Source organism: Homo sapiens, chromosome 6 (assembly GCF_000001405.40).
Source record: "Homo sapiens chromosome 6, GRCh38.p14 Primary Assembly".
NCBI classification, from domain to species: domain Eukaryota; kingdom Metazoa; phylum Chordata; class Mammalia; order Primates; family Hominidae; genus Homo; species Homo sapiens.
Genome location: NC_000006.12, coordinates 35,007,399 through 35,032,405, shown reverse-complemented (window position 1 = coordinate 35,032,405; position 25,007 = coordinate 35,007,399). Strand labels below are relative to the sequence as shown.

Sequence of the window (25,007 nt, the reverse complement as noted above, 5' to 3'; positions counted from 1 at the left end):
AAAGCATGTAGTGCCTGCGGAAAGAGCTGCTGATGGAAAGACCTGTCAAGCTCAAAGTGCAAGGGGGCAGGTTTTATGGCAGACAGAGACTTGACCTCATCCTCTCCTGAGCCCCAACACTGTTTACTGGGCTACTGAGCTCCTTCAGCCTCCCTAAGCCTGACTGCAGAGAGGCCTCATGGCCAGTCCATCTAATGGGGCCTCACCTCACCTCCCACACCTTGCCCAGCACTCTGCTCCTTTTCTTCAAGAGCACTTATTTTCATTTGTGGTAATATTTTTATTTGTACTTGCTTAATATCTATCTCTCCCTTTAGGGTCTAAGTCCCTCAAAAGCTGCATGTTTGTTTACAATTTCATTTCTGTATGCCCAGCCTAAGCACACAGTAGGCTCTCCATCAGTGTGGTGAATGAGTGACTAAGCCTCTAATGAACAGTGGAATTTCAACAAAAAGAAATGGAGAAAGCCACCCAAGTAGGGAGAATAGTATAAACCAACGTGTAGGGGAAAACAGTGAGTATAGGAATTAACTGAGCTGGAAAAATAGGGTATGAGATGAAAGAGAAGGCCAGTTATAGAGGCTGGGCCATGGGCTCATTCTCTGGTGAATCATGCACTCCAGGCTAAGGAGTCTGGACTCTGAACCATAGCAATAGGGAAGCAAGGATGTTTTTAGTCAAGGGAGGATAACACAAAATATTTGAGGAACATGGTAAGGCAGCCACAAGTAAGATGAGCTAGAGAAGCCCAAAGGCAAGCAGGGAGATACTGAGGTGGTGGCCGCTGAGGATCCCAGATACGTGAGTCTGAATGGAGGAGAGAGATTTTGGAAGGAAACCCTGGCGACTGGCACAAAATGGGGAGGAGGAGGAAGGGTTCTGGTCAAGAGCACAAGGGGACTTGAGTGACCCTTTACAAGGCCTGGCTCAGGGTCATTTAGACAACATAGGCTTTCTCAGGCCTTATCTGTCCTATTGATTTCAAATGAAAAATTGGTACAAAAGCATCTTTACCTGCAAATTAAGGTCATAGTGAGTCATGTAGCTGCTAAAAAATGCTTGAGCAAGTCTCATGGGCCCAGAGCAGGCGATTACGCTGTTAGGTGGAGAGTAGGTAGAGTCACTGTTATGTGATGGGACATGGGGAAAAGCTACATTGATTTTGCCAAAAGAGCACAACAGGGAAGAGGCTGAGCTGTATCTCCAGGGCAGAAATCACAGGATAAAGCTTTAAAAGGCAACAAACACCTCCACTCCACAGAACCGCTTTCTGTATGGCCTCCTGATGGAGGTGTGGTACCTCTGGAAGCATTGTGCACACTGTCTTTGACTTGGGCTCACGGACAGATTGAACCCTTAAGTTTTCAGGAGACTAAGATGCGCATCAAACCCCTTGATGAAGCATTATCAGGTGGCCTGCAACATGTAAATCTCATCATAGTGTACCATGCAATGTACATTATGTACAAGCATCTGTAACAATGTCATACGATTTCAAGAGGATGTTCACCGAAGGGCCGGGACAAAAGCAGTTTGAAAATAAGCCATCTGAGGTGAGAGAGAAGAAACTGGCGTGCCTGCCTGGCAAGGAAACGAGAAGGTTTGAGGGTGGGAGGACATAATTGCAGCTTCAAATATCTGAACAACTATTATGGAGGACTGCATGCATGACCTACCAAGAAGGTAAAACCAGAATTGATGGGGTGGAAGTCACAGATTTTAGCTGGATATGAGAAAGGATTTTTCATTATTTCATAGACGTAACGGTGGATGGTAGAGGGGGTTACTTGTGGTTTACAAGCAAAAGTTGGAAGATCATTTTTATTTATTTAGTTAGTTACTATTATTATTTTTAAACCAGTCAAGTACGGTAGTAAAGAAGGTCACTTTTAGACAACACAGAAGTGACTTTGTTCATAAGGGAGCTGGACTACATGGTAACTAGGATTCCTTCCAAATTCCAAATTTTAGAATTTGCCAGAAATCATCACCTCACTTTTCAAGTCACAAAAGAAAAACCTAACAGCCCCCCATCTTAGAGAGCAGTAAAGGGAAGAAATGCTTTGAGTCTTAATATTACGGTAAAAAAGGAAACACATGCTTCTCCCAGGAGACTCCTTTCGTAAGTTGCTTTCCTTCATACACAAAGACCAATATTTTTGTCTGCAGTTAGAGGGAAAAAGTAAGATAAAGCTGCAATAATTTGGGTTGAAACAAGAGGAAATGAAAAGTAACTGCTAATTAATGCTGAAATAAAGGTTTAGCTCACCTATATTCTAAATACAATCCTTAGAAGATGTAGTTCCAACTGGTTTCCCACATTTATCAACCCTAAGACCGTAGGCAAGTCATTTCAGCTCTCAAAGCTTTAGTTTCATCACCAGGAAAAGTGAATCAAATAGTGGGCTAGATCAAATTGTTGCTAAAAATCAACAGGATGTCTAGCACTCCTCATAGCAAAATGAATTCCGAAGAAACAAAGATTTATACCTGAAAAATGAAACCATAAAATATCAGGAGGAAATTATGTGTTTGTGTGTGTGTATATATATAGAATATGTAACTATATATATATAAAAAATAGATTTGTAATCAAATAATATATATTTGTATATTACATATAAGTATATATTATATATGTAATTATATATGTATATGTAATAATATATATAATGTATATATACAAATAATATACATATATTTGTAATCTTAGAGTAAGGAAAGTCTTCTTAACTGGGATACAAAATGCAGAAGTCGACTGGGCGCCGTGGCTCACGCCTGTAATCCCAGCAATTTGGGAGGCCCAGGTGGGTGGATCACCTGAGGTCAGGAGTTCCAGACCAGCCTGGCCTAATATGGTGAAACCTCGTCTCTACTAAAAATACAAAGATTAGCTGGGCGTGGTGGCAGGTGCCTGTAATCCCAGCTACTCAGGAGGCTGAGGCAGGAGAACAGCTTGAACCCAGGAGATGGAGGTTGCAGTGAACCAAGTTTGTGCCACTGCACTCCAGCCGGGGTGACAGAGCAAGACTGTCTCAAAAAAAAAAAAAAAAAAAGCAGAAGTCATTCAAGATTGATAGATTCAACTACATAAAAATTCTAAATTTCCACATGTTAAAAAAAACATAAAAATACCACAAGGCCAAAAGACAAATCATATCATAGATAAAGGGCTAATTTTTCTCAAATACAAAGAGCTTCTACAAATTAGTAACAAAGAGATCAATTCAATAACAACGTTTAAAAAAAAAAGAGAAAAGGAATATAGAAAGTAGTGTTTTGTAAACATATAAAGAGATGCCAATGTCACTCATAATAAGAAACACACTTTAAAACTAACCCAAGATAAGATAACATTACCAATCTGTTAACCAAAAAGAGACTAAAAGGCTGACCACCCTCATGTTGATAAGGTGTTTACATGTTGTGGGTAGGAAAGTAAATTTAACACGCACAAACTCTTTCACACAGCTGTTCAGTTTCTAGAAACATCTTACAATGACTCTGTACAAGGATTTGCATTGCAGCAATGCTTTAATCAGTAAAAGCTTGGTAACATGTAGAATGTCCACCTACAAGAAACAAAAATAAATGATAGTATATGCACACCATGGAATATTATGAACAATAAAAAAGAAAACTTCATGTACTCAATTAGAATGATTTTCAAAAAATTACTATTACATGAAAAAAGCAAGGTTCAGAGCAGTACACATGAGACAGCACCATTTTGTCTTTTAAAAAGAAAAATGCTTAACATGTCAGAAATGCTTCTACATGCAGAGAATATTTCTGGAAGGATATTCAAAACACCAGGGAGAAGAACTGAAAATCTGGAAGACTTATTTTTCACTATATAGTCTTTGGTACCTTTAAAATTTCACCTAGATTCAGGTATTATAATTTTAAAAATACAAAATCCCTAAGGTATAAACATTCCATTTCTAGGGTTAGCTTTGCCTAGATTTCTACATACAGTTAGATATGGAGGTTAAGCTATATATTCCCTCCAAGGACACAGAAACAGCCTATGACCTTGAGGCTGGGAGATCTCCACCCTTGAAGTACAGTGTGAAGATGGGATGCCAGTCCTCTGCCACTGCACCCAAGTTCCACGGCACTCTTCACTGTCCTTTGGCCCAGTACAGAGGGCCCAAGCTGCAAAACCAGGACTGTATGCCCACTGCATAATGGATATAAGGCTCTTCCATGCTTTTGGGGGAAGTTCTGTTGAAAATAACTAGATCCAAAGTGGAAAGGAAAGGAACCAGAACATTTACACAAACCACAACATTTCAGCTGAGTTTACAATGGCTTCTTGCCTGTTTAAATCAGGACAGCCAAGAACAGACTGCCAGATAAATTGTCATTTGTAGGCACCTAGTGAGCTTAGGCAGTTTTCCACCTGTCCAGGCAAATAAAACAGGCTGCCTTGAGTTATGGACAGGTGGGCCCTGTGGCGCCAGAGACTGGGTCATTAGAGCTTGTGAGCAAGAGTAGGATACCTGGGAAAGATTCGCTCAGCATCTTGGCCCTGCCCAGCAGCTACAGGCCACAGACATTCTTCTTACCCACTGGCTACTCACCTGGTAGCATCAAAAGGGAACATCTATGGAGAAGAAAGCAGGATAAAGGAGCCCTAGGCAGGGAGGGTAGTCGTCCATGATCTGATCTCATCTCACAGAGCTGAGATCAGAGAGCACATCTTTGAGGATGCTGGCATAACACTGGGGTCAGGAAAAGACCCTGTGTTGTTTCTGAGGGTCACACATTTCAAAGGAAGTGCAAATGAGGTCCAGATTAATTGTTTTCTCAGAGTCTTACATAATAAAAAGCCTATCCCCCACCATCTGGCTGCCACTCTGACCACACAGCATATCTCTAAACAAATTAAACTTCTCTGGGATATATACACACACATGCGTGCATGCATACACACAGACCACCTTCATATCTGGTCTCTAAGAAGCTCCCTCTACCCTGATGTCCCCTAAGTCCACCCAGGATCAGAGAATGTCTGAGGCCACCAGCATCTCCCTCTCTTACTGGTTGTAATTACCTATGGGCCTGGCTCCTGAGAGGATGTATTTAAGATTCATCAGGGCAAATTATTTGTGGTGAGTGCTCTTTTAGGACATCAGCACCATTTCTGTGTTCCAAGTGGTGGTGGCATACCCTCAACTCACCTTCCCTGCCTCCATGAACACCCAATCAGTTGGCCTCCCTCACTGGATCTCCCATTTCTGAGATTTCTGGCCATCTTCTGGTCTTAGTAATTTTGAATTCTCTTCCCTTTGCTTCGTGATCCTGGTTTTCAGATTTTATTTCTGCCTTGAGTATGCAATGAGCTTATGGAAAGGCATTTCCTAAGACAATGACCTATAACCCAGCCCCTCTGCCAGAACTCACCCAACATCCTTGCCTAGGATGACAACAAGAACAATGATCAAGTTTGAGAAATTATGATTTCATTCTAGTTCAATAGCTTTTTAAAAATGTGGGTATGTGCATGTTTAAAAGCATGCACCCAACAGCTTAAAATAAAGAAATCAAGGAAAAAAACCAAGATGAGAAAGGCAACAGGTAGCAATCATGACTAAAGAAAAAGGAAGTTAAAAGTAAAAGTCAAGTTATAAGGTATATTTGTAAGACAATATTAAGTGTAGGGTAGGATTTTAAATTTCTCTTACAGGAGAAATTAATTAAGAGAAAGTAGCCCAATAACCACTCATGCTTCTCCCTCCCCACCCCAAGCATGCACAGCTTGCTCCTTCACGTCCTCCTCAAAGGGGCCTTCCTTGGCTGACTCACCTAACGGCAGCAATCCTCCCACCGCACCCTCTAATCCTGTTCTTGGCTGTATTGTTCTCATAACCACTCCCATCATCAACTACATACTACGATTTTTACCTATTCATTCTTTTTAAATTCTCATTCCCCTCTAGCTTTCTAGAAAGCCAGCTCCATGAGGGCAAGAGGATTTGTCTGTTTTGTTCATTGCTGTATCCCCAGCACTTACAGCCTACCTGGAACAGAGCAGGTGCTCAACAAATTAGCTGAACGTGTAACTGTAATACAAATATACTTCAATTTTATACTATTACTGATTATGTAAAATACCTCTACTTGTTCTTAGACACAATTGCTTAGAATAATATAAAATGAACTATTATTCCCAAAGTCATACAAAATCACGCACTCTGTATCCTACTGATACTTTACTAGAAAAACAAGATACAAAACCAGAACCAAAGTATAAAAAGAATATCCCAGAAAATGTTTCCTTCTCTGATTCTCAGCATTTGTATGGACTGGAATAAAGGTCAAATTCCTCTCATCTATAGTCACCTACATTCATTGTCACCCAAGCTTTCAGTTTGTAACATAACAAAAAAGGGAGAAAAGGAAAATTCTCCTTTTGCTGGTGATTTTGCAAATACCCCAGCTCCCTCCCTGGTGCTTGATGGTGCCCTCTTGCTGCAGCTAAAGGGAACCAGGCTGTTTAGTGGGGGACTGGGGCTGGCGGTGGGTGTGGTGGCCTGCGGATACCACGAGTGGCAGAAATGCTGGTGCAGAATAGAAATGTGGGTCAACCCTGGAAAAAATGTTAAAAAGAAAAAATAAAAGCAAAATCCCTCTGGTACAGAGGGCTGAGAGGCTAGAAGAGAAGCCTATCCTTAACTCCACCTGTAAAAATAAGAATGAAAAGGAAAAATGAATGAGAAAAGTAGGGAGGAAGAAAAAAAGACAAAAAAGCATAGAAGAAAAGGGGAGAAAGAGCAAAGGCAAAAAGAAAGAGGGAAACAGATGAGTAACAGATAGGGACAGCAGCAATGGGGAAATGCATCGGTGGGAAGTGAAGTGGCAGCAGCAGGGAGGGTGCATTCCCCCACTCCCCCAACCCCGCTTTCCAGCACCTGTCCAGTTAGAGACGTGATGGCAGCAAGGGACCAGCAAGCGGGAGAGAGAGGTGCTGAACACACCAGTTTTCTCATCACCAGTCAATTGCAGAGCCAGGACTAACTCCCGCTCATTCACAACACCGTGGAGTTTCTCCTGTTAGCATCAAGGCCATGGAAATGCATATAAACATACATAAATACACACACACACACACATCGCATACATATATGCGTGTGTGTGTGTGTGTGTGTATACACATATATAATCTAGGCTAACAAAAATCACTTTGATAGAAAGGCCAAAACTGTTTATTTAGGGCTGCCTATAAAATAAATGAGATTATTTTAAAAATATGAACAAATTACCTCAATATTACCAGACCACCTAAAGCCAATGGAAATATAAAGGGTGTTTCATCTAGGATAACAGTTGTGACTACTCTGTATACTTGGAAACAACTTAAATAGACACTCCAGGTCCTAATCTTTCCCCAGAGGTAGGAGTGTCACATTCTTGTTCAGGGCGGGAGGGCTTTGCTCAGCACAAAAGACTACACAGCATGCTTGTTTACATAAAGAGGAACAATGCACATTGCAGAATATGGCGTGGGAAATTTAGTCATCATCAGTGGAAATGCAAATCTCCTTATTTTACATTCTTCTTTTTGCACACCTAACCCCCAAGGGTTAAAAGCAGCCAAAGCCTCTATGGAGTTGAACCAATCAGCTTGTCTCTTGATGACATCATGCCTCTAATGAGAAAGAGCTGGAAAGGGCGAGGTGGCGAGGCCACTTCTGGACTTGGCCTGAAAGGGTGCCCTCCCAGTTGCTGCCACTTCACTTCTCAGGAAAAGGATTCAAGAGCCAAGGGTTTCCTCAGCTACCATTTCAGACAAAGCCAGGACATTCCCAAAATCCTGTGCCAGAAATTATTCTCATCTTATACAAAATGCATACAAAGCATGTCCCTGCTCTTCACCCATCTCCCACTTATTTAATATTTATGAAAGCTGATTACAAAACACAAATTTATCATTTAAGCCTTTAGCCAAGTTTTAAATGACTCCAATGTTTATGCTAAGTAGACAAACAGCCTTCTGTGGTTTTCTCTTTCATAAACTTTAATCCCATTCAAAGGCAGGTGAGAGGCTAATCTGGTCATCACAAACTTTTTATCCATTCAAACCACAATATGACCAGAAAGCCATTTTTGTTATTCCTACAAGGTATTTATCTCAGATGTTAATTGGTGCTGTGTGTGTGTGCTGTGGGTACATCACACTGTGCAAGAGACAGAGGATAAAGACATACCAAAAGGAGACTCTGCCGCAGGAACACACAGCTGAGATGCTGAGGACACTGCCAGCTTGATGAAGGGAGAACAGGTTTCTTTCTTATAGTAGGAAGTGGGAAAGGCTTAAAGTTTTGGATTTTTAATTTTGTTAAATTTACATATTTTTATTTGGAGATGTCTATATCAGTGCAGAAAAACAAAGTTTTAGAGACACTGGATGCCATTACTTTATATATCATTAGTTTATTATAAAGAAAGTTTAAAATAAAATTTAGAAATTTAGTTTATTATAAAGAAAGACATGGAAATTATATTATGAAATATTTTAGGACTTCAGTGGAAGGAGCAGCTTCACGTGATGCCATTTCAATAGTGATTTATTTCTGTCTGCATTCTTTCCAAGAATGTCACCATCTCTAAATAAGAAATAATCCTGTCACCTAGAACTACTTTGGTGCCTCTATATTCTGGGAGAAGAAATTTGTCTCCAACTTCCACGCTAATTGGTCGAATCTCTCTACCCTTTCCTTTAGAGCCTGATCCAACAGCTACCACTGCTGCTTGTGATACTTCTCCCTGAGATTTTCCTGGAGGCATAATGCCTCCTTTGGTTACAGTTTCAGCTGCACTCCTTTCAACCAATATTCAGTCAAAGAGTGAAAGAAACTTTCTAAATGCTGGTCCCGCCATGACTCTACTGCCACAGCTCTGGTGCTTCCAGTTAAATGATGAATTTCTCCTGCTTCCCAGCACCCTGAATATCTAAGCCTTTCAGTTCATTTGCAAATGAAGATTAATTTACAATTTACATGCTAGAGTCATGTTTACTGCTCCAGCATACAGCCATCTATGCTTGCTCAGAGTTGATAGAAACAGTGCCAAAAACTGCTGTATCACTCAGGGTCCCTGCAGGAAAAGACGGCACAAATTGTGCACCTGAAGGAACTTAGTAATGGGATTATTTACACAGGTTTGGGTAAGGTGCAGGGAGGGGAGCTAGTCACAGTGAGGAGCCTTAGGTCAGAAGGGTCAAAGGGAAGGACTGTTTACTAGAACCCAGAGAGAACAGCTATTGGGAGAAGGTCCCTCCCAGGAGTGGTGGCTTTCAGTAGAGGGACAAAACCAATCCAACAACCCCTTGGCCTATTAATGCACGACACATAAGCAGATAGAAAAGGGTAGGAACTGGACCTGAAGGGCAGGTGGAAAATGCCCTGTGCAGTATCTAATGGTTGGAGAAGTTTCAACAACAACAAACTAACCAACCTTATGATATAGCCATACAAGAGAATACTCAGCCTTTTTAGAATGACGATCTGAATCCAGGTCTTATTGATGCTGCCATGGTAAGATATCCACAACGTGCAGTTATTAGGTAAGAAAAGCAAATTATAATCAGTAAATACACTAAGACTCCGAATTTGGATATGTATTGAATGTTAACAGAGGTTAAGTATGCATGGAGGGATGTGGGTGAATTTCCCACTCCTTATCTGTATATTTTTAAAATTTTATTTACGTACACCTTCTCAGTTTGCCCTCTATTATGTCCCAAGCATCATTAAGACAACAAAGAGTGCTTTGACTTGACTGGAGAACACAGAAAATAACTACTGAAGTTTGGATTCAGATCTCCTCTTAGGCTGAGCTCTTTTAAAGGCAAACTCTATGACTTCTTTGTCACCAAAAATACAATAGAAAATAGGGAGAATGCTAGTGTCATTAACAGATATGATCACAGAGGTTTACCTTAACCAGGCCATCTTTCAGAAGTCATGTTGCTCAGGGTAGTTCAACAGGGCTGCATTAACCCACAATAAGGAGCAGTCTGTATTTGGAGAAAATGACTCCCAAATCTATTAGCCATACATGTTCCCCAACTGGAGAACATCATCTCAACCAACCAGCCATTTGCTGGCCATTATGTGGAAGAATATATTTGAAAAACAAATTGTAGAGAAGGCTGTAGATTTCTCTCCAACCTCTCTTCTCCTCTCAGGGAGTTCAACAGAAAGCTCATTAATTTCTCAAATGAGAACAGTGGGGAAGGTGCCTGCCTGACTTTCTCAGGCTGGGTGGGCTCTCCCATCCCTGCAGTGAGGCAGAGCTGTGCAGGAGGATCACCAGTTGAAGGGTTTGAACTCCAGGGGTTCCCCGTGACTCTGCTACCACCAAACAACAAAGAACCTCCTGCAAAGAGCTCTGTTTTGTTTTTTTTTTTTTTTAGACAGAGTCTCACTGTGTCGCTCAGGCTGAGGTGCAGTGGTGTGATCTCCGCTCACTGCAACCTCCGCCTCCTGGGTTCAAGCAATTCTCTTGCCTCAGCCTGCTGAGTGGGTGGGACTACTGACACATTCTACCATACCCGGCTAGTTTTTGTATTTTTAGTAGAGAGGGGGTTTCACCATGTTGGCCAGGCTGGTCTCGAACTCCTGACCTCAGGTAATCCACCTGCCTTGGCCTCCCAAAGTGCTGGGATTACAGGTGTGAGCCACCGCACCCGGCCTGAGCTCTGCATTTCATAAGGTCTGAACACACTCCAGTCCTCAGTTCCCATTCTCTGCAGCTCCAAGCAAGATAGTAACATTAATATCTACCATTTAGTCAACACTTTATGCATGCTAGGAACTGTGCTAGGCAGTTAAACACATCTCTAATTGGTAAAACACTCTGAAACACAGATCTAACTGCCTCAGTTTCACAAATAAGAATAATAACAGTGAGCTTACTGAGGTAGTCCATGCACCGAGGTGGAGATGGAGGAGCTGGGGCTTGAAGCTGGATCTGCTGACTCCTGAACCTGAGCCCATCTGTGGTCCTGCACTTCTTTCCAGGAGCAGCCTGAGGGGCTCCCACCCGACAGCCTTCCTTCTCCCTCCCCAGGTCTCACAGTGAAGAGGTGAGCTAGGCCCAAGCACCTTCAGAGCCTTCAGAGCAGAGTTCCCCACCTCCCGGGGGTCCAAGGACAACAAAGAAAAAAATCAGCAAGAACAGGATATGGCAAAGCCGGCTACAGGCACTGGTCAGGGATAGGGTGGGGAGCAGCCATTAACTAATGCCCTATTCCAGGAAAGCCTGCCAAGGCCCTGGGTTTAGGGCCAATCACTGGGGGAAACACTTTTGGAGTTTCTCTTTACAGAGTGATATCCACAGAAACCAAGTACAGTATCACTAAGAAACAACATTGAAGGGTTACACATAAAGGGCCCTGTTAATGTTTAGGACGTAAGCAAACCTTGATCTTCTGAATTCTTTCCAATAAGACCTCAATTGCCTTTAAGTTTTTTCAAATTTAAAATGTAGCAGGGCTTTTGCATTTCAGTCACACTAGAGAACTGGCCCACAGCACCTAGATCTTGGATAGATGTAGATCCCTGGGCCATTGTAAGCACCTGCAACCTTTATCTGCACAGGTGATATCAGCAAATGAAACTCCTCTCGATGCAAAGAGACACTGGCTTACGAGCCCACACAGCCAACCTCAATTAAGCCCAGCTTTGCCCAGGTGATTTTGTATTTCTTGGCCAGGAGGAAACAGTGGAGCCCATAAGGCTGCCCAGAAATGCTGCATGTTAACAGGACATAAATATCCTGTGAAGAATCGCCCAGCACTGCTGACCTCTCTGGTTTGGGATACGCTCAGAAGGAGCCATAAAGAAGAGGTGATTCATTAGACTGGTAAAGCTGTCTTCCAGCCCGTTTAAAGGATTCTGAGATACTGCCTTGATAGCATATCCAGGAGTCATCCCTCAGTATCCACTAGGGATTGGTTCCAGAACACCATTTGGATATCAAAACCTGTGGATGTTCAAGTCCCTGACATGAAATAACATTGCATATAACCTACACACATCTTGTATATTCTAAATCATCTCTAGTTTACTTATAATACCTGATACAATGTAAATGCTATATGTAAGTAATTGTTACACTGTATTTTTATTTACATTATTTTTTATTGTTGTTTTGTTATTTTTTCCCCCAAATATTTCTATCCACAGTTGGCTAAATCCACAGATGCAGAAAACCATGGATATGGAGGGCTGGCTGTACTCATCTCTTGGCCTGATGCTCGAGGCCCTCTCACTACCTGGTGCAAATCTCGCTTTCTACTCTTATTTCTCATTCTGCCCTTACACACAGTCAGCACCCTAGAAAAACCAAATGACCTGAACTTTTCTGGCTCCATGCCTCTGCTCATGCCGCTCTCTCCACCCACCTCTCCTCGTCCCACCAGCTTCAATCTGGTTTTAACCATAAGACTCAGTCTTTTAATTCCATGTCAAATCCCATTGCTCTAGTGGTCTTTCCTGAATCTCTTCCCACCCTCTCACACCTCCTGTCTCCACTCCCCCACCCACTGATTTTTTAAAAATCTCAGACCTGGGTAAGAGTCACTGATGTTTTTCTCTCTTGACCTCTATGGCCATTTCAGAGCACACTGCACTTATCTTCACCTTCCTCTTAAATTTATCTTGAAGTTTTCCTATAGCTGACTGTAAATTAGTAAAACTCTGTTTTAAAAAACAAAGGTAGAGCATACATTCCTACAAATATACACACTCCAGTGTGTAATCTCCTGGCACCCCCCTCCCCCAGAGCTATCTCACTCATAGTGACTTTCCACAAGTGGCCAGGCATCTAGCACAGGCTCACCAAATCTTTGTTTACTAAGCAATGAAAATCTTTTGCACAGGATTCCTCTGTCTCTGCCTAATCAGAATCTTAAGCTTCATCTTATACCTTATCTGGAGGTAGCGCTGGAAGCACAGCCCCCACCCCCAACCCAGTTCCTTCACTGGAAATGGATTGGCTTTGGTTTACATAACTTTCCAGCACCTACCCAAATAGAGTTGGGTAGGGCATTAAGTGTACAGATTGTTCAAATGGACATGTCAGCTGTAGTGTTCCCCTCCTCTTGGAGAGCTAAATGGAGTTCTTGAAATTATTCCTCAGAGACAGACCCAGTCCACTTCAAAGGCAGCTTCCACTCAGTAAGAAGCTTGCAAGGGTGGTACTTTAACATTCCCATGGTGTTTACCTATCTTTGAGAAACACATTCTTCTGCTCAGCGAGACATGCCATAGGTCACAGAGAAATTGGTACATATTTCCAACTAATAATGGCTATGAAAGAAAACTGGGCCTCTGACTCCCAATGTTTTCTACTCCCCAATCTTCATTTCCTGAACCACTTATCCCTCTTCTGCCTGACCAATCTGGGAATGTGGGATGGGCAGGACCCTTCTGCTGGAAGAAGTATTTGGCCTTCCAGGACAGCACAGTAAGAATAACCATGGAGAAGCAGGGAATAGAAAAGCCTTCCTCTTGCAGCTATAAAAAAGAATGAGCTCGTGTCCTTTTCAGGCAACATGGATGCAGCTGGAGGCCATTATCCTGAGTGAATTAACACAGGAACAGAAAACCAAACAGTGCAGCATGTTCTCCCTTAAACATTGGGTACTCATGGACATAAAGATACAACAATAGACACTGGGGACTACTGGAGAGGGGAGGGAGTGGGGGCAAGGGCTGAAAAACTAACTATTGGGTACTATGTCTACTACCTGGGTGATGAGATCAATCGTACCCCAAACCTCAGCATCATGCAATATACCCATGTAACAAACCTGCACATGTACCCCCTGAATCTACCATAAAAGTTGAAATTATATATATAAAAAAGAAAAGCCCCCTTTCAGCAGCTTTCCCCCCAGACTTACCCTGTCCTCCCCTAAACACCCCTCACACCTCTCAACTAACCCTGGATCTTCTCTTTTTCTCCTGAAGGACTCATAGGAAGTACTCCAGCTCTTAAGCATCTCCAGGGTGAGCATGATTCTCTCAATGGGGCTGATGGGATCCAAATATTTCCAAACAGCATGTCATTTCTAGAAAGTGCCCCTCCCTCAGCCCTGCTCTGCTGGGGCCTCCACCCTCTAATTTAACCATTAAGGACCTGTCCTCTGTGATCCAGACTACCTGAGGCTCGCCTCTTCTTACGATTGTCAGAAATACATTAGTTACGGAGTGAAGGAACCAGAGCAACCTTGCCCAGATCCTGGGCCTGAGAGTTGGCACTCACGGGAGCTGTGGTGGGCTGCGGCCAGCCTGGCCAGCCCAGCTCCCTGTGACGTCATGTCGGCCTTACCTCATCCCACTCCGAGGCGAAGGAGGGTGACTTCTCTAGCCTTTTCTTCCCAATGCTGCAGTTGGATAAGGACTCACTCCGACTCCCCATGGTAGCGTCCTCTGTGGGTGAGCAGGTCAGGAGATCAGAGTCAGACTTGGACAAGCTGCGGCTGAGTTTGAGTTCAGCTTTGGGTTTGCTAGTGGGAGGCGCTCGGCTCCTGGCCCCACTCCGGTCTCCTTCCTCAGCACCACCAGGGTGCGGAGATGCTGTGTGAGTCAAAGTTTCAGGGTGCGAGCGGCTGTTGGTGGTGGGCAGGCCTGTGAGGTAGCCCACTCTCTTGCTCTGGTCCAGGGCACTGGGCTGGGAGGCTCCAGGAGCATGCACACCCGTCTCCTCCAGCTGCATGCTGGCCTTGTGGCAGGCGCCCTGCTGGGGGGACCCGTCTGGATGGCTCTGGCCAGCGGTACAGAGCAGCTGGAAAGGGTCCTGCCCCACCTCGCACACCGGGGAGGAGCCGTGGAGGAGGCCTGAGAACTGCTCTGGGACCTGCCCGTCCTGCCCCTCCGCAGAGTCCTGGCTCCGGCTGCTGCTGCTCCGCCTGTGGTCTTGGAGTGGACGGAGAGACAGAGAAATAAAAAATTAAACGTGGCAAAAATCAACAAAGTTCCAATGCAGCAAGCATATGGCAAAGCAGAGGAATTCACAGAGAAACAGAGAGAGAAACTGGATAGGCTGGGGAGGGGGAGAGGAGAGAAGAAGAGAGAGGAAGGAAGACAGTTTTCATATTGTTCTTAATGTTCAATTTGTACCCAAAGTCAGAGCATTTATGAAATTCCAAACACTGGCCTGATTAATGCTATCTGGCAGCCTTCCCTGTTGTTAGATTTCTGTTAACATTAACGACCAGACCTTGCTATATAAGGCGAGAAGAGTGTTAAGTATAACCTAGAGAAAGGACACAAGTCAGGACAGAGTGAGTGAACATGAAGCAAAAGTAAGAGCACCAGTGAGCAAGCGCGAGCAGGGAGACCCACTCCTGGAACATCTGATACATTTCCATAAAGGCCAAAGTGTTATTTAAAGGCCACCCGCCCTCCCTTCCTCTGGCAAGCAGCAACAGAAAAAAAAAAAAAAAAAAAAAAGAGGTCATGATCCACAACCTGCAACTTCTGGAATTCCTTAACAGAAACAAAACGGCAGAGAAATAACTGCTTCCTTCCTCGGAGGGGGCCATTCCGAGTTCCACGCCTCATCCTTCCTTCCTCAGGGAGCACAGACTTTTCTTTCTCTCTCTCTTTTTTTTTTTTTTTTTTGAGAATGTGCACATCTTGCTTCTTCCAAAATCTCCCAGCTGCTCATATTTGTTTAAGTTTAACCTTAGTTGATCCACTGAAAACAAAATGGTCTAATTTGTCAATGCCAGGAGACATTTGCAGTTCTCTCGAGACTTCCCTAACATCCTAGAAATCTGACACTACTAGCTCATGAGGCCAGCTACTACTGTACACTCAAATACCTCGCCCTGAAGTAGCATAAATAATTGGCCAAATCAGAATCTAACATCAGCACTACACTGGCACACCCAGGGGCTTTCCTTGCATGAACTCAGCCCCATTAAAGATTTTAACCCACATCATCAGAGTAAATAACACTATGTCCAGCACTAGCTCACATTCCATAATATTCAACTTAACCTTCTCTATAAGTGGGATCTATTGCACCTATACCAAACAATTCCCTAGTTTGCTCAAAACTCTCAAGAACTATTCATGAGCTCAGAGAATCTTAGAACCAAAAGGGTCAACTATGTTTACAGATGAGGAGTCTTAGTGGTTACCCCAGGTGGTGCAGGAGAAGACTTCAACCTAGAAGCCTGAAGATCTGGCTCTGGTCCTGGCTGAGCTGTTCTCTAGCTGTGTGGCCTTGGCAGTGATTTCATCTTATTGGGCCTCAGCGTCTAAAGTGACTGGGCTGGGCTGCATGATACTTAAAAATCCCTTTAATGTCATGATAGTGATGAGAATCCAGGTCTCCACCATGTCATGATGGCACACTTCTCCCCCTTAGGGATGTGAGATGCCTGCCTGGGTACCTCTCCTGTTGCTGTCTACACAGCACCCACTCTCCCTCATCAGCATGCCTGAAGGCCCAAAGCCCCTTCTTGAGGTTCAGTTCTGCAACTGGAGAGGGTAGCCAGGTGAGGAGGGGTGCAAAATGAGCAGTGCTTTATAAACACAATGTACTAAAACACAGTCTCCAATGCCCAAGCATGACGCTACTCTCCTGCAACAGTGGTTTTTTCAAAACAGCCTTTAAGAAATGTCTCAACAACCAGCTCTCACAGTGAGCCCAACTCGCTGAGGTCTGAGCAGGGATACAGTTCTCCCATCGCCCCCTCTCCCCTCCCAGCTCCAGAAGAGCAGTTCAGTCTCCACAGTCTGTTCAGCTTTTCACGAGTCTAGAGAAGTGGCCAGGGGCAGCCAATTAGCTCCACTTTATGGCTCTGATTACTTATCCACAGGAGCACAGAAGCACCAACTTTGGCATCTCTCTCCTCTACACTTCTTTATTTTTTTTTTGAGACCAAGTCTTGCTCTGTTGCCCAGGCTGGAATGCAGTTGCACACTCTTGGCTCACTGCAACCTCTGCCTCCTGGGTTCAAGCGATTCTCCCATCTCAGCCTCCTGAGTGGCTGGGAGTACAGGTGTGTGCCACCACGCCCAGCTAATTTTATTGTATTTTTAGTAGAGACGGGGTTTTGCCATGTTGGCCAGGCTGGTCTCAAACTCCTCGCCTCAAGTGATCTGCCTGCCTTGGCCTCCCAAAGTGCTGGATTATAGGCGTGAGCCACTGTGTTGGGCCCCTCCTCTACACTTGACCACTTTGGGACTTTCAAACTTGACCACTTTGGGACTTTCACACCTCAACTCAACTTAAAGGTCAGGTCCTGAGCAATGAACAAACCCTGAAAAACTTGAATCCTTTCTCTAGGGAAGAAGGAATGCTGATTACATAAGAGTTTCATATAGCTTAACCAAGGCCCCAGGAAGCCACGACTCATGGCTACGAATATTACATATAACAACTGGCAGCCAGAACAAAGCTACCCAGTGATGTTGCATGGTGGGGCTACAGTGAGGATGACACATGACCATTTAATGTGGTTCAGGTCAATAGTACTTCCTAGGAGAAGCTGATGGGGAGAGTTAATCAGGCTGTAAAATTTGCCATCTCTGGGACCACATTCTAATAGCCGACTTCCTACAGATCCTGGCCCAAGGTACAATGTCCCTCTGACTATATTTGAATGCAAGATGACTTTGGTAAAAGGAGCACAGGCTTCTACTGCTTTGTATCAACTTCCAGCTTCATATTTAACAACTGGGAGCTAAGGCACCAACAATGAAAGGAAACACCACAGCTCAGAACTGGGGGCCAGCCTGGCTCACACTGCCTGGGTGGACCTCAGAACCCAGGCCACAGAGAATGTTCTAACTGCTGCTGTGGGAGCCAACAATGCAGGCCCTGTGAAACAGCCACCCATTCATGCTAGCTATCAATGATGAAAGAGAGACAGATGCCAAGGGCTCAATACCAGACACATGCCAAGGGGAAGGAAGTGGGTAGAAGGAAAGAATGGAAACTTACGGAGGAAGGAAATATGTGGAGGAAGAATCTCTGAGGGTCATAATCCTATTAGAGAAACCACAATCCACCAATATTTTGTGGAATATAAGAAATGATGGAAAGAAATTCTTATAATCATATGACTTAGCCAGGCAATTCCTAAGAAAGACACTTTGGTATCTGAAAAGCTTGCCGAGATCCAAGACCCTAAGGCTGGTGTTCTTGTTCCCATTAAAAACTACATCCAAGGCCAAGATGAGTTTTTTTTGGCAGATCAATGGGTGGGAAAAGAATTACTCAATGGTTTCTTCCTTCTGCAAAGTAAGGATAATATAAGGTCTCTTAGGGACAAGGTGCTAACAATAGAATATACTGATCAAGAAGCAGTTTTTAAGCAAATCACTTCTTTGTGCAATTCTGGGATCTTAATTGGGGGATTGTTGCGGTAATTAAATTATACGTGTAATGCATTAAGAACCGTGTCTAGCACATGCCACGCTCTCAATAGATGTTGAAATTGTTATTATCCTCCACACAGGGTCCGTTACAACACACTTTGCTCACAGATGAGACCAACTACTTCTCCGTTCCTCACAGGTCTGTCACAAGGATCATCAAAGATAAGGTACATGAAAGTACTCTGTAAGATATAAAGCACTTCACAAGCATTCATTACCTTCACCATCCTTATAACTCTGAACAGCAGAAGGAAGGGACAGAAGGTAATATGGTGAGAGGGCTGAAGTGAGAAACTCTGAGACAGGCCCCAGAACTGTCACTGTAACCACTCATCCCATGGACAAATGTATGAAGTGTCTGTCCTCAGGAGGCACCCAGGTGGATATGAGGATAAAGAGGCCGGGTGTGGTGGCTCACGCCTGTAATCCCAACGCTTTGGGAGCCTGTGGTGGGAGGATTGCTTGAGCTCAGGAGTTCAAGATCAGCTTGGGCAACATGGCGAGACCTCATCTCTATAAACAATTTAAAAATTAGCTGGGTGTGGTGGTGCACACCTGCTGTCCCAGCTACTTGGGAGGTTGAGATGGGAGGATAATTTGAGTCCAGGAATTCAAGGCTGCAGTGAGCTGTGATCATGCCACTGCACTCCAGCCTGGGAGACACAGCGAGACCTTGTCTCACCAAAAAATAAAAAATAAAAAAAATAAAGACACCAAGTCTGCCTCAATAGATGCTTTAAGACAGGCATAAATCATATGCTTGGCAGACAAAAAGGAAAGCCTGATTACTTCGAACCAGAAGGCTTCTCAGAAGAGGTAGCTTTCGAGCTGAGCACTGAAGGAGAAATAAGACCTTGTCAGGCTTACAGAGAAGTAAAAATACATTAGAAAAGGCAGAGAAGGGCCAGGTGTGGCAGTACATGCCTGTAATCCCAGCACTTTGGGAGGCTGAGAGAGGAGGATCACTTGAGCTCAGGAGTTAGAGACCACCCTGGGCAACAAACCTCACGCCCAGGGACTAGTGAAGTTGCAGAAGAGACCCTTAGGCCTTTCTCCTACACTACTTCCCATGTTCCCCGAGCTCTGCCCTCCCCACAGTCTGCCCTTCTAGGAGAGAAACAAGGAGATAGTGGCACACAGGGAGGGAGGCCTGTTTCTTATGCTACCCATACATCGAGGCCAGCTGTTCTACTCAATATGGCACACCAGCATGCTAATTCCCAATCCCATCAACTTGTGATCCTCATTCATTTTCCTTATACCCTGTGAGCTACTGAAGCAAGGGGTCTTCTGTGCTGCATTTTAATTACTACGATGAGCTATGGGATCTCAAGGGCTTTTGAATAATAACACTTCAACATTTACACATTTTCATTCACCTCTGCCCACTTAAATTAAGGCTAAAGAATGCAGCTCATGTGAGGAGTTGCTAATTCAAATCTCCCCTCAGGCCCAGAGAAGAAGGCTGGGGGACCCAGTGTCTCATATTGTTTTGTGTTCTCCGTATCATTAGGATTGGAATCCTCCAGCTGCCTAGTCACTATAGTGAGCATCAAAAACCATGGGTGTGCAGGAGAACTCCCAAGTACATGGCTGCTTTCAGAGGGTCACCAGGCTCTTCCTGGAAGGAAGGTCCTGACCAAGTTATTCAGACACTTGCTGAAGACTGCAATTTGATAAGACAAATAGACTGAGAGTTCATTTTGGTCCACGGCAACCTGAGAAATAGAATAAGAGCTAGACAGGGATTCAAGAAGCCCATGTTTTAGTTCCAGCCCCGTGACTTTTCCTCTCTAGGTCTCTTTCAAAAAATGAATGCCTGGGATGCATTCTCCAGGGCTTTGGGATTTAGGCTAGTTTGAATCTGTGATTAAAGGACCTCTCTATAGTCCCTACCAGTTCTATGATGTTAAGAACATGAATAGCAGAAAGGCTTTTGATGAAATGGTTTTAGCCTCATGGTTAAAAGTACAGGCTTTGGATTCAGTCACACTAGGGTTTAAGTCTCAGCTCCAATACCTAACCTTTTCTTCCTCAGCTCTGAAACAGGGACAAAAATAGCCCCTACCCTGAAGATCTGTCACAAGATATACAATGACATAATCAACATAAAGGAAATCAGCATGGCAGCTGGCCCGTGGGAAGCATTCAGTAAATGATAGCTGCTATCATTATCACCATTTTTCATTTACAGTCATTTCTGAACTCTTAGCTCATCATGCTAACACTGCACAGAGAGGCTGGTTTCCCTTCTCCTGACTCTGCAAAGGAGACTGATTTATTCTGAGTAGCCCTTTTAAAGAGGCAGAATAAAACTCAAATGCCAGGGAAGGCCAGTATTCTTATAAGTTTGGTTTGGGATTACATGTAATAGCACAGTGGAGAATCTTCAGATTAGGAGCCATCTGTACTCACCTTGGGGCCCATAGGTATAGCCCAGCTTTGGGACTTCGGACTGTTTCACATTGACTTGGTCTTGATTACCTCATTACATCTCCCCCTTCTTCTTGAACTCCTAAAGCGTCTGTTCTCTACCTGTCATTGGACCTCTGACCTCTGGCCCCCAAACTTCCCTAGTTTTCAATATACCAGCTTTGCCTGGATCAGCTTCCAACCAGCCACGATTTCTAACCATGCCTAATTTAATAGCATATTTGCTGTCTTTGCTCCCCTTGATCTTCTGCCAGTTCTTGTAGTGGGTATTCATAGCCATTTGCTTTCTCTTCTCCAGTTGCTGGAATGTTGAGCCCTTTTAAATACTCAAGAAACAACTGACTTGAGTCCTCTACCAATTCACCTAACTCAGCTGGCTTCCAACAGCTACTACTTATTGAGTACTACTCCTTCTGTGCCAGACACTATGCCAAGCATTTTCTTTTTAATATTCACAACAACCATGAGGTAAGAATTAGTATCCCTTCTACATGTAGAAACTGAGGCTTAAAGAAGTTAAATGATTCCCTAAATAATAGTCACCATCCAGTAAGTGCTAGAGCAATAATTCAAATGCCAGCTTGATTACCAGGCTCAGTGAGCTTTTCATTCATCTCTTGAAAACTATGTAAGATCGATTTCCTCATCTCTTCTGCTCTCTTTAAGCCATCATCTTTACCCACAGCACCTGCACTTTTTGGAGGACAATCACACCAATTTCCCGAGAAGACAGATCAAACTTTTTTAATGACTACTCTCAACACCATGTAAAAATTGGGGGGTAATTTCATCACTTCTCTCCTACCTTAGAAATTAGACCCCATTTAGGCTTTACCAATGGCCTTCTAACTGCCTAACCCTTTTTCTAGTTTTCATCCTTCTAGCTCTTTCTAGATCAATGGATACTGTTTGTCCATTGCCCCCAGTACTCACTCTCCCCTTCCTTCCTTGGTTATGGGACTTTTAGACAGGTTCACAGCCACCTAGAATAAAGACAATTATTTCCCACCTCCTTTGTAGCAAGGTGTAAACACATGACCAAGTTCTGGCCAGTGGGTTATAAGTGAAAGTGGCATGTGTAACTTTTGGGAACTATCTTTAAAGTGCCATTCTCCCCTTTCTTCCTTCCCATGCTGATGCCTTGAACTTGGATAGCCATCTTGAACCATGAGATGGCAGAAAGGGACTGGGTCCTTAATGGTCATGAACTGTTGTTGAGCCCAGCACTCTTTACTTCTATCTTGTTCAACCAGAGTTATTGAGGGTTTTCTGTCACATTCAGCCTTAGCTCCTAAGATATTGCATTATCCCAGTTATCTTCCTATGTTTCTTTCCCCTTGTGCCTCTAAACATAAGCTCTACTCTTTAAAAAAAAAATTATTATTATTATTTTGGAGATAGGGTCTCACTCTGTCGCCCAGGCTGGAGTTCAGCAGGCTTGACCTCCTGGGCTCAAGCAGTTCTTCCACCTCAGCCTCCAAGTAGCTAGGACTACGGGTGCACACCACCACACCCAGCTAATTTTTAAAAATTTTTTATTTTCGTAGAGACAAGATCTCACTATGTTGCCCAGGCTAAGTTCTGTTTTGGACCTCTTCAATCTCTCTCGTCTCTCAGCAATGGACTTTTTTTTTTTTTTTTTTTTTTTTTTTTTTTTAGACAGAGTCTTGCTCGTGTCACCCAGGCTGGAGTGCAGTGGTGTGATCTTGGTTCACTGCAACCTCTGCTTCCCAGGTTCAAATGATTCTCATGACTCAGCCTCCCAAGTAACTGGGATTATAGGCTTGCACCACCACACCCAGTAAATTTTCATATTTTTAGAAGAGATGGGGTTTCACCATGTTGACCAGACTGGTCTTGAACTCTTGGCCTCAAGTGATCCACCCACCTCAACCTCCCAAAGTGCTGGGATTACAGGCAAGATCCACCGCGCCCAGCCTGGGTTCTCTTTAACGTTAAGAATCACCTCAACTTGGATGACTCCTAAATCTGTATTTCTAACCTTCACATCTCTCATCAGACTCATATTTCCAAGTGTTTATGAAGTATCTTCACTTGGATGTTCTCTGGTACCTAAAACACCTCAAACTTAACACATTTGAAACCGGATTTAATATCATCCCTCAAACATGCCCCCTCCCTCAATTCTCTATTTCTGTTAGTTGTACATTATTTTCTCAATTAACCAAGCTCAAACCTCAGAATCATCCTCAAATTCCTCTCCTCATTCCTATACATTTTGTTCCATGGTCCTGTTAATTCTGCTTCTTCTATACTTCTCCCATTCATACCTCCCTTCCTATAACTTCCTACTCCCCCTCTAGTCTGGGCTCCAATTACCTTGGAGAGACTCTGTGAAGTCTCTTGACTTTAGGGCATTCCCGCCTCCAGTCTCTCCCAGTCTAACCAATCTAAGAGTCCACAATTGTATATTTGTGAAGCGTGGCTCCTGTCCTGTCGCCGGATTCAAAAAGCCTCAACAACACTGCATTGTCTCGGGAATAAACACTGACGGTGGAGATCCAATGCTCTATGACAAGTTCCCTTTGTTCCAGCCAAACCGGATTACTCTTACCATTCTCCAGACATGTTCTCTCTATCTCCTCCCATCATCTCACTGTTGTCTATGCCACTCCTCCTGCCTGGAATGCTCTCTCCTTCCTTACTTCTGCCTATCAGGTATAACTCTATCTAGGGGTTCAGCTCAAGTGTGATTTCGTTAATAAAGCCATCCATGATCTCTTACACTGACATAATTTATCCCTCTTTTGGACACCAAAATCACTTTTATATGAATTTAACATATTCTGTCATCTTTCAGTTACTTTACATATGTCTCATATATATAAATGCATAATATACATGTATATAAATGGCTGTCAATACATATGGTGGAGGAAAACTTAGAAGCACAGTTCATAAGGCTTGGACTTGTTCCACAATGGAAAGAAAATTGAACTATTCCAACTCAGAAACCTAAATTAATAATAAGAAGACAGTTATTCAGCAGGACTTTGTGCAGGAGCTCCTCTAATGCAAGAAGGTGAGAAAAGTCCAGTGCAGTGGCTTGTGCCTGTGACCCCAGCTACATGGGAGGTTGAGGTGGGATTGCTTGAGGCCAGGAGCTTGAGACTAGCCTGGACAATACAGTGAGAACCCATCTCTAAAAAACACTTTTAGCTGGGCATGGTGGCACATGCCTTTAGTCTAGCTATTCAGGGGGCTAAGGCAGGAGGGAGGATTGCTTGAGCCCAGGAGCTTGAGGCTGCAGGGAGCTATGACTGTGCCACTGTGCCCCAACCTAGCAATGGAGCGAGACCCCGTCTATTTAAAAAAAAGATGGCGAGAGAAGAGGAAGCTGCTGAAGTTAAGGCTTAATTGTCAAACTGTCTCATTGATATGTTTTCCCTTTGGAAAAAGCATCCAAACATACTCCTGGGTATTTATTTTGAAAATCTAGCCTGGACTTCTTGGTAAAGATGATAGATCGAACACAGGTACCTATTTTCTCTTCTTCCTGAAATCTCATTAAACCAACAGTAAAAGTGGGACTACAGACGGAAGCACACCTGAGAAAACAATCCAAAACTGGCAAAGGGAAAAGCCAAGATTTACACTCCAGAATTCCCCAAAGGCTAAGGAATTGGTACTCTGATGTAGGAGTAGAGGTAGAAGCTAAAAACCGTTTCCTCCCCTTTGGAAGGATTAAGGTCTTCATACTCATGCACAAACTGTGCACAGACTCAAATGCGTAGCTCTCAGAAATACTGACTTAATCTCAAAAACCTCTGAAGTGTAACTGCACGCCAGAAAGTCCACATGTATCACTGTCTTCAGATAATCATTCATGATTGTCCTCTGTTAAGTACCACTTCACCTGGACCCAAGCACTATTAGTGGATGCTACAAAAAAGCACCACAAAGAACAAGATGGCTTTTAGAGCTCTTGGCTACATTCCCATTTACTATCAAACATGGAAAGTTGTCCACTATTTCTCCAAGTGGTAATATGTCCAGAACATCCAGCGAGCAAAGAGTTAAACATGAAAGAGAAATAAATGACTACGCTATACAAAACAGGAATCACTGCTCTTGGTTATGCTTGCCCTGTATGATGATTTCAGAAGACTTTTTCTACTTTTGAAATAATTCAACAGGAAT

At 43.5% G+C, this 25,007-nt stretch overlaps 1 protein-coding gene and 1 pseudogene across 12 annotated transcripts in view, besides 2 other annotated features; both read right to left on the bottom strand.

Annotated features, from left to right (window-relative positions):
* Window positions 1-25,007, bottom strand: part of ANKS1A (ankyrin repeat and sterile alpha motif domain containing 1A) — a 208,736-nt gene that overhangs the window by 65,585 nt on the left and 118,144 nt on the right. For 10 of the 12 annotated variants that reach the window (XM_011514431.4, XM_011514434.4, XM_011514432.4 and 7 more), the window contains one exon: window positions 14,347-14,933. In XM_011514431.4, coding sequence (XP_011512733.1) covers window positions 14,347-14,933 — 587 coding nt within the window. Of the gene's footprint in view, window positions 1-14,346; window positions 14,934-15,332; window positions 15,381-25,007 lie in introns of those variants that run through there. The other 2 variants (XM_047418492.1, XM_017010593.2) reach the window with 1 other exon arrangement.
* Window positions 7,515-7,664: an enhancer, noted in NCBI's record as "active region_24394". NCBI's record gives its function as "activates an Ori minimal core promoter by ATAC-STARR-seq in GM12878 lymphoblastoid cells {active_cell/tissue: GM12878}" and the evidence as "EXISTENCE:reporter gene assay evidence [ECO:0000049][PMID:35858748]".
* HSPE1P11 (heat shock protein family E (Hsp10) member 1 pseudogene 11) lies at window positions 8,376-8,891 on the bottom strand (annotated as a pseudogene).
* Window positions 14,125-14,728: an enhancer, noted in NCBI's record as "H3K4me1 hESC enhancer chr6:34985455-34986058 (GRCh37/hg19 assembly coordinates)". NCBI's record gives its function as "activates a minimal SCP1, AML or CMV promoter by ChIP-STARR-seq in naive H9 embryonic stem cells {active_cell/tissue: H9 hESC(naive)}" and the evidence as "EXISTENCE:reporter gene assay evidence [ECO:0000049][PMID:30033119]".